The sequence below is a fragment of the Homo sapiens genome, chromosome 10 (genome assembly GCF_000001405.40).
Source record: "Homo sapiens chromosome 10, GRCh38.p14 Primary Assembly".
Lineage (NCBI taxonomy): Eukaryota > Metazoa > Chordata > Mammalia > Primates > Hominidae > Homo > Homo sapiens.
This window is the reverse complement of record NC_000010.11, coordinates 70576473-70586200: the sequence shown is the minus strand read 5'-3', so window position 1 is coordinate 70586200 and position 9728 is coordinate 70576473. Positions and strand designations below refer to the sequence as shown.

Sequence of the window (9728 nt, the reverse complement as noted above, 5' to 3'; positions counted from 1 at the left end):
AAAGGCCAGCTCTTCTCCTTTTTACCTGGAAACGGTTGGAGACTCACAGTTGAGGGAGACAATATTTTTGGAGGAAGGGACTTGGCCCAGAGCCAGCCAAGGTTCCCTGCCCCTGCCACACACGCCTAAGAGGCACAAACTCATCATAAATGCCAAGCACTTTCAGGGGTTTTCGTGTATTTACCTTTACTTACCACTGCCTAAGTGCCTACTTTGGGACAGGCCCTGCATAAATGCTTGATCTCACTTTATTTTCCTAAGGGCCTCTTTTATACATGAGGAAGCTGAGATTCAGAGAGGTCTGATAGCTTGCCCAAAGTCCCCCGCTCACTTAATTGCTGCAAAGGGTAGGATTTGGACAAGCAGCGTCTGCAGCCAACGGCACTGGGTATGTCCTCCCCTCAGCTGCTGCAGGGCCTGAGGCAGTGCCCGCGTGCCCTAAGTCACTCTTCTCCTTCTGCAGGACAGAGGGGACTCCTCAGGGCCCTCCCTCCACACTGGTTAATCTCAGCTCCTCTGGCTGTTGCTCCCTACTCTCCTGGGCATTTGGAAGTGATTCCCACAGGTGGCAGTGCCAGCTCTCCAGGGGCCAGAGCTAGGGGCACTCACTGAGCAGACCCCAGTTCCCATGCCCATTCTTGGGAGGAGAAGAAGGTGGGCAAGGTTGGAAATGGGAATTACAGGGAGCTTGAAGGAAAAGTAAGGAGTGTGCCCTGAGTACACCCATGTCAGTCACCATGCTGGGCACGCTGGACCCCTTCTCTGTCACTCCAACCCTCTCAGCTGGCAGTGAGGACCTCACAGGCAGAACAGGAAGAGAGCTGGCTCCAGGCCATATGTGGATGGGCCAGAAGGCCCCACTCCCCAGCACTCACACCCGCCCTCTCTCCGGAGGCTGAGTGCTGAGGGAGTGGCCAGGTCTCCAGTCTGCCAGAAGCCCCTCCCCACTGCTAACAGAGCAAGCTGGGCACAGGAGACATGAAGAGCCCAGGTCTAAGCCGGAGCCTGCAGTCTAGACATGAACATCCGTTTATGATTTAAAAAACAAAACTAAAACAAGATTTTCAGACCCCACGACAGGGCAAATGAGATGGCAAGGAATTATGTAACTTTCTAAAGAACCTAAATTGCTTTCAAGTTTTTTGGAAACCATTTAGACCATGCAGTTTTGCTTATTAAGCAAACCATGCAGATCAGTTTACAAACCCTGAGTAAGCAATCCCTCGTGACTCTGACATGCTCCTGGAAGCTGGTACTGCAGGGACCCCCATGGGGTGATGCAGTAGCTCATTCTTGCTTATTTTCTGTAGTGTATTTGAAAATAATACTGTTGCCAGAAAAAGAGGGGTACGGATCCAGACCCCCAGGGACAGTTCCTGGATCTTGTGTAGGAAAGAACTGGGAGCAGGTCACAGAGAACAATGAAAGAAGTAAATGCATTGGAAACTCCTTTGTTACAGAGTAGGGCATCCTCAGAAAGCAGGAGGAGGAACGCACCCTCCTTTGTTAGTGTTTCCACTTATAAGAAACAGGCTGCACCTGCCTTTGTTAGTGTTTCCACTTAAAAGAAACAGGCCGGGCTTGGTGGCCCACATCTGCTTTGGGTAGCCAAGGTGGGCGGATTGCTTGAGCCCAGGAGTTCAAGACCAGCCTGGGCAACATGGTGAAGATCTGTTTCTATAAAAAATACAAAAAATTAGCCCGGCTTGGTGGCGAGCGGCTGTAGTCGCAGCTACTCAGGAGGCGGAAGCTGAAGGATCGCCAGAGCCCGAGGAAGTCAAGGTTGCAGTGAGCCGTGATGGTACCACTACACTCCAAACTGCACTCCAGCCTGGACAACAGAGTGAGACTGTCTCAAAAAAAAAATGCGTAAAGAGGGTTGTATTTTTAGACCATTTGGACATTCTGCAGGCTTGGTGGGAGATGTCCTGTATGGCCATAAATATTTTGGAGTTATAATTGGTAGTCAGCTTAGAATATGGTTATTTTCAGAACATAAGCCTTAACCTTATAGGTGCCTTGTGAGTGCCCAGCTATTCACTTTAAGATAGAGTCACTCTAGTCATGTTTTATTAAACCAGAGGCTTAATAAGCAGGGGTTCCTCTAACAATACTAGGACTTTCTTGAAAAGGCTTCATGATTTAGACTTTCTCCCCAATTACGTCTCCCAGCTATTTCCTAAAAGCATTTGTTTATTGGTTATCTTTGTTGTTCTTTGTTCAACAGAACTGGACAAAAGGTTCCTTACTGATACCATCTGGAGTGGACAGCATTCCCAAAGCCTTCCCAGACCAGAAGTGGGGGGTGGGCTGTGCCCCTTATGCTGAGTGTCCTTCAGCAAGTAGCTTCCCCTCTGAGTCCCCAGCTACTCGTGTGCAGCCTGGGCACATTACCAGTGAAAGCAGTTGAGATCACACATGTGCTCACATGTAGGAGGCCCTAATGTAAAAGCAGCTCTAGGCTTTCTCAGAGCCACACTGGAAAGGCCTCTGCTTCTGGGTTGACGCCTGTCCTGCCCTACCTCCTCTGACGGCTGGGAAATCCTGCCCGTGCTGAGGGGTGTCTGGGGGGAAAGCATTATCAATTCTATTTTAGAGATGAAGGGATTGAGGCCGGGAGAGTGGAGCGATTCACTCAGGAAACACTCACGGACTCTCCTGTGTACGGTGCCATGGGGACACAGAGACACACCCGTCCGTCTGCAAATGGCTTCTGTGCTTGTGGCTGTTCTCACCTCTCGCCAAGAGACCTGCTCCAGCAGGGGCCAACTTTCCCCTGCCTAAAATCTTCCCTGGAAAATCTCTTTATGAAGCTATGACCTTGCCTGACCTCAGTGAAAGAGACAGTGGGAGAACGTCAGCCACCCGGGAAAGAGGTGGGGGCAGAGGGCAGTCCAAGGGCCTGGTCCCACTGCAACAGCCTGGTACCGAAGGCAGGCAGGGAGGGAGGGAGGGACCTAGGCAACTGCAAGGGGGTAGTGTCATCTCGCATGGCCACAGCCTTCCCCCCAGGAACTCCACGGCACCCTCCCCGCACAGGAGTTCCATGGACCCCTCCAGCACCTAGGACTTAGATGTACCCACCTACCCAGGGCTTCCACGCCTCCCCTAATCCCCCACCACCCAGGGCTTCCACGCCTCCCCTAATCCCCCACCTACCCAGGGCTTCCACGCCTCCCCTAATCCCCCACCACCCAGGGCTTCCCTCCCAAGGGGTTGGAAGCAGCAGGATGCTTTGGTCACTCAGAGCCTGTGTGCTTTAAATTCTTTCTCAAAACCCTTGTAAATTTAGCCGAAAGAGCAATGACATAACCTCCCCATGGGAAGTACAAACACACCCAAGTTCATTCCCGTCTTGCAAGCCTAGAAAACACCCATAGGCAGCCACCTCAATGGAAATGCCACCCAGGGATCCAACAGAACCCATGCCCAGGCAGTCCCAGGACACGTCTTTTTGGGGAGAACTCACCAGAGCTGCCAGGACAGAAGCCTAAGCAGCTAGTTCTCAGTTTCGAGCAAGGCTTCCAAATGCTGGGCACATTGACGTGTCGCCAGTCATGGGCAAAGTGAGCAAAATAAGGACAGTGTAGTGTCTTAAAGCTACTTCATCTAAAAATTTAAAATAATAATAATAATAAAGAGACAATAAAATAGGCAAAGGTGACCAAGAAAAAAATATGTAAAATATTCATAAACATTAAAATTGAGAATGGGGACAAAAATACAGATGCAGAGGAGGCATTTTGCGTTTTTTTTTTCTGGAGACAGGGTCTCATTCTGTTGCCCAGGTTGGAGTGCAGTGGTGCAATCGTAGCTTACTGTAGCCTTGAACTCCTGGGCTCAAGTGATCCTCCCACCTCAGCCCCTTGAGTAGCTAAGACTACAGGTGAGAGCCACCACTCTGGGGGTTGGGGTGTAGAAGGGGAGTGTTGGCTATGTTGCTCAGGCTGGTCTTGAGCTCATAGTCTCAAGCACTTCTCCCACCTTGGCATCCCAAAGTTCTGGGATTACAGGCATGAGCCACCACACTTCGCTGAAAACCTTTTTTTTTTTTTTGACACGGAGTCTCACTCCATTGCCCAGGCTGGAGTGCAGTGGCGCAATCTCAGCTCACTGCAACCTCTGCCTCCTGAGTTCAAGCAATTCTCCTGCCTCAGCCTCCTGAGTAGCTGGAACTACAAGTATGCACCACCACGACTGGCTAATTTTTGTATTTTTAGTAGAGATGGGGTTTCACCATGTTGGCCAGGCTGGTTTTGAACTGCTGACCTCAAGTGATCCTCCTCCCTCAGCCTCCCAAAATGCTGGGATTACAGGTGTGAGCCACCACTCCTGGCTCAAAAATCTTGAAAAAGATTGCTATCTATGTGTTACTCTAAGAAAATGTTGCCATTTTACCAAAACTGACCAAAGGGAAAGTAAGAAGCCCAAAAAGACTAATAAACATAGAAGAAAAAAACTTTATGAAAAATTCACACCTAAAAAAAGACCAGTCCAATATTAAGAGTTCTATGAAAACTTCAAGCCACAGATGATCCACAAGTTATATGAACTATTCCAAAATGTTGAAAAAGACAAAACTACCTAACACATGTATAAAACTATCATAACCCTGACAACAAAATTAAAAAGCATAACATGGTGGAAAAAAAACACTCATAAACATAGTCACAAATATCCTAAATAAAATATTAGAAATTTAGTTTCAGCAATATGATAAAAGAAGACAACACCATGACGTAGTAATAAACATTTAAGAATGTAGGCCGGGCGCAATGGCTCATGCCAATAATCCCAGCACTTGGGGAGGCTAAGGCGGGCAGATCACCTGAGGTCAGGAGTTTGAGACCAGTCTGGCTAACATGGTGAAACCCTGTTTCTACTAAAAATACAAAAATTAACCAGGCGTGGTGGCAGACACCTGTAGTCCCAGCTACTAGAGAGGCTGAGGCAGGAGAATAGCTTTAACCCAGGAGGCAGAGGTTGCAGTGAGTCAAGATCACACCACTGTACTCCAGCCTGGGTGACAAAGTGAGACTCCATCTCAAAAAAAAAAAAAAAGAATGCAAAGGATCAGTCAACATTGGAAAATCTGCTAATGTACTTTTTAAAATTAACATATTAAAGGAGAAAATATATGACCACCTCAATAGATGTCAAGAAAACATTTTTAAAATTAAAAATCAATTTATAATTTTTTAAAATCTGCAAACCAGTAATAAAAGAAAATTTCTTTAATTTGACAAATGCGCCTACTTGAAACCTAGATCAAAAATTACAGTTAGTGGTGAAATATTCCCATTAGACTTAGAAAGTATAAAAATGGTCACTATTCCAAATATTGTTCAGGAAGGTCTAGCCTTTATAACAAAAGACAAGAAAAAGAAATACTAATTATACATATTAGAAAGAAATTAAATAGTTATTATTTGCAGATAATACCATCATCTATCTCCAAAATCCAAGACAAGTTTTTAAAAACTTAGTTATTAAGTGGGTTCAAGAATATGGCCAAATTCAAACAAAAGGAAATATTTATTTTTTCCTACATGAGCACTAATCAATCAGAAAACTTAGTTATTAAGTGAGTTCAAGAATATGGCCAAATTCAAACAAAAAGAAATATTTATTTTTTCCCGCATGAGCATTAATTAGTCAATCAGAAACTGTAATAGAAAAAAAACCATAATTTCAAAAAATAAACCATGAATAAATTTCATGAGAAGTAGGTATGACTTAAAAGAGGAGTGTTAATAACTTTTATTATTAAAAGACACAAAAGAACCTTAATAAACATAGGGAAAAAACATATTCCTTAATGGGAACACACAATATTATAAAAGCGCCCATTCTCCCTAAATTAGTCAATAAATTAAATGTAATTTCAATCAAAATACCAATGAGATTTTTAAATAGAAGTCCATATGCTGGTTCTAAAATCCATTTGGAAATGAAAGTACACTGGAACACTCCAGAAGTATAGAAGAATGAAAAAGAAAGAATGAATGAAAGAAGGAGAGAATGAGGATGGGAGACAGAAGGAGGAAGGGAGAAAGAACAAGAACTTGAGAAGACCTCGAAAAAAATCAATGGAGAGACTAGAGTACACATATAGAATATGTCTGCCTTGCAATGACAGAAAACCCAACCCAGCTCACTTAAGCACAAAAGGATCTGGGTTGTCAGTTAAAAGTTTTGTGGGCATAGGGGTAACCTGGCTCTAGACATGATGGGGTACAGCAGCTAAAGGGCAACAGCAGTTGCCTCAGCTCAATTCCACTGGCCTTGGTGTGTTGGTTTCATTTTCATATTTGTTTTCACCTTGTGGCTGTGTGACAACTGTAGCCACGTCTGGCCTCTCCCTTTTAAGTTCCACAAGAATAGTTAACACTCTTCCAGTCACTCAGAAAAATGCCAGGGATAAGCTCTGATTGGGTGTAATTGGCCGGCTGAGTCACATGGCCAGCCCTGGGCCAATGGCAGTGCCAGGACAATGAGATGCACAAATTGGCTCAAGCCTTGGTTCTTGTTCCTGCTGGGGATGGGGAAAATCAGACATGGTTACCAGAAGGATGAATGGAGGCCAGGAGCAACAACAACCCCGTGTCTACTCTATGGACTCAGGTATAAGTGCTTACTTCACATATGATGAAAACCATAGTTCCAGTAAGGGGGAAATGTGGCTATTCCATAAATAATGTAGGCCAGCCTGGTGCAGTGGCACATGCCTGTGGTCCCAGCTACTTGGGAGGCTGAGGCAGGAGGACTGCTTGAGGCCAAGAGGTCAACACCAGCCTGAGCAACATAGCAAGATCCCATCTCTAAAATAATAATAACAAATAATAATAAATGTGGGCCAACTGGATATCCATTTTGGAAAAAAAAAATACACTATCTCATGTCATTCACAAAAGTTTATTCCAGATGAATTAAAGCATTAAACATAAAAGACAACACTGTAGAAATATTCAAAGAAAACATAGGAAAGAGATCTAGAACCTTGGGTAGGGAAGGCTTGCTTACACAAGTCAAAAAACACACCATGTATAAATTGAACAACTTCTCTATGAAAAAATACACTAAAAACGTTACAAGACCTGAGACAAACTGGGAGAAAGAACTGACTGTATATCTATCTACCTACCCACAAAACAAATTATATTAAAATTTTATGCCTGTTAATTAAAAAAAGACAATCTAGCAGAAAAATGGGCATATACATAACAGAATAAATTCAAATGGCCAGTAAACATATGAAAGGATGTTCCAACCTCATTACTAATCTGGAAAAGTCGAGTTAAGGTAAAAATAAAAGACTTTCTTTCTTATCAGATTGGCAAAAATTAAAAGGATTGGCGACCTCAAATGTTAAGGCAGGAATGGGGAAATGGATACTTTCATAAACTGTGAAAGGCTATGAGTGTTTAATTCAGCTTAGATGCCGTCATTTAGTTCAAAGAAAGAATAACAATTACTTTTGAAGGGCAAAGACACTGTGCAGGTTTGTTGATGGTGAGGTGGGCGGATGTGGGAAAAGGAAAGAATAGCCAAGAGGGGGTGCAAAGTGAAACTCAGAAGGCCCATAGATAATCTACCAGTGTGACTCAGAGAACACAAGCCATTTCCCATTCTTGTGGCTGTAGAGGGGAACCTCTTGAAAGTACACAGGGGTTTAAATAACATCAAGTCAGAGAACCACAAGAATTTGACGGAGGGCTTTCAAAGTCATCATGCTTTCCCCTTAGTCTCCTCCCCGAGTCACCCCAGCCTGGGCACTCTTCCAGGATCTACCTTTCTCTCCTCTCAACCTGTCATCGAAAATGGCAGAGAGGATTACCATATCCAGCCCTGAAACAAGCAAGGATTTGGCATCAGACACGGGTATCTCTAGCTGTAAAATAACACCTTGTGGTATTGTTGGAGGGTTGAACGAGATGATGACTGTAAAAGAAACCAGATATAATGCTTGACAAAGTAAGTAATCTAATAAAGGACATCATAAAATAAGCAAAGGTTATTGATCTGAAGCTAGGTCAGCTCCAGCATAGACTGAGACACACAGGAATGGAGAGGACAGGCTCTAAGACAGCATGTATATCTAATGGTATTTTAAAGCTAAAAAATAAATGCAACATATATGATAAAGTTATCATCTTAACAAATCAATAGGAAAGGGGTCAAGTGTGGTGGCTCACCCTGTAATCCCAACACTTTGGGAGACTGAGGTGGGAGAATCACTTGAGCCCAGAAGTTCAAGACAAGCCTGGCCAACATAGTGAGACCCCATCTCTACAAAAAAAAGAAAATTCAAAAATTAGCCGAGTGTGGTGGCATATGCCTATAGTTCCAGCTCTGGAGGCTGAGGTGGGAGAATCACTTGAGCCTAGGAGGTCGAGGGTGCAGTGAGTTATGATTGCACCACTGCACTCTAGCCTGGGTGATAAAGTAAGACCCTGACCCAGAAGCAGCATAGAATTTAAAAAAGAAAAAGAAAAGAAAAGAAAGAGAAAGGGAGAAAGGGAGAAGAAAAGGAGAAAGGCAGAAAGAAAGAAAAAGAGAGAGAGAGAAAGAAAGAAAAAGAGAGAGAGAGAAAGAAAGAAAGAAAGAAAGAAAGAAAGAAAGAAAGAAAGAAAGAAAGAGAGAAAGAGAGAGAGGGAGGGAGAGAGGAAGGAAGCGAGGAAGGAAGCGAGGAAGGGAGGGAGTGAGGGAAAGAGAAGGAGAAAGAGAAAGAGAAAGAAAGAGGAAGGAAGGAAGGAAAGAATGAAAGAAAGAAAAGAAAGAAAGAAGGAAGGAAAGAAAGAAAGAAAAGGAAGAAAGAAGAAAGAACAAAAAGAAAAAAGGAAGAGAAAGAATGAAAGAAAGAAAAAGAGGAGGAAAGAAGGAAGGAAACAATGAAAGAAGGAAGGAAGGAAAGAAAAGAAAGAAAGAAAAGGAAGAAAGAAGAACAAAAAGAAAGAAAGAATGAATGAAAGAAAGAAAGAGAGAGGAAGGAAGGAGAGAAAGAGAGAGAAAGAAAGAAAGAAGGAAAGGAAGGAAGACAAACGCCCAAACAAAAAAGTCAGCAAAGGACATAAACAATTCATAACAGAAAAAAAAATGGCCAAAACACATGAAAAAAATCCAACTTCACTATTAGTTAAAAAGAAATAAAATTGAACAAATATGAGATTCCATTCTGAGTCATAAAACTGTGGGCAGTGCTAGCAAGGCTGGGAAAGAGCATGCCCACTCACTGCTATCTGAGACTCTGAAACAGGGCATTTCTAAAGGACAAACTGAAGGTACACATGGAAAGCCTTCAAAATGAAGCTTCCCTTTGTTTAGGAGATAACCAGAGGTTTGCACTTCCATCCACAGATTTGGAGGCACCAACCCAGATGGCTACAGCCTCCTCCATCCACAGGGAAGATTAAGCAACAGTTCCCTGACCCATGACCACCATCGTGGACAGGACCTGCCCCCTCTCTTGAGATGGCAGCATAGGGCAGGGCAAGAACCAGCTCTTAGTCTGCTGGAACTGTACCATGTGAAGCTGGAAACCAGGGTGGTCATTTTCACCAAGCAGTGCCACAGCAGTGCCGGCCTTCAGAGACAAAGCAGGTGCCCAGAGAGGCTGAGACAAGGCAGAGGGTGGGTTGTTCAAGTCTGTGCAAGAAAGCTATTTGGCGAAACACCTGTGAAGAACAAAGGAGGAAACAGAAGGCAACAGGAAGGGCCTTCAAACCACA

At 44.0% G+C, this 9728-nt stretch overlaps 2 annotated features.

Moving 5' to 3' along the window:
* Nucleotides 1-167: a silencer, noted in NCBI's record as "fragment chr10:72345790-72345956 (GRCh37/hg19 assembly coordinates)". NCBI's record gives its function as "represses an EF-1alpha promoter that drives an FKBP-Casp9 reporter gene in an ReSE screen in K562 erythroleukemia cells {active_cell/tissue: K562}" and the evidence as "EXISTENCE:reporter gene assay evidence [ECO:0000049][PMID:32094911]".
* Nucleotides 659-1159: an enhancer, noted in NCBI's record as "H3K4me1 hESC enhancer chr10:72344798-72345298 (GRCh37/hg19 assembly coordinates)". NCBI's record gives its function as "activates a minimal SCP1, AML or CMV promoter by ChIP-STARR-seq in naive H9 embryonic stem cells {active_cell/tissue: H9 hESC(naive)}" and the evidence as "EXISTENCE:reporter gene assay evidence [ECO:0000049][PMID:30033119]".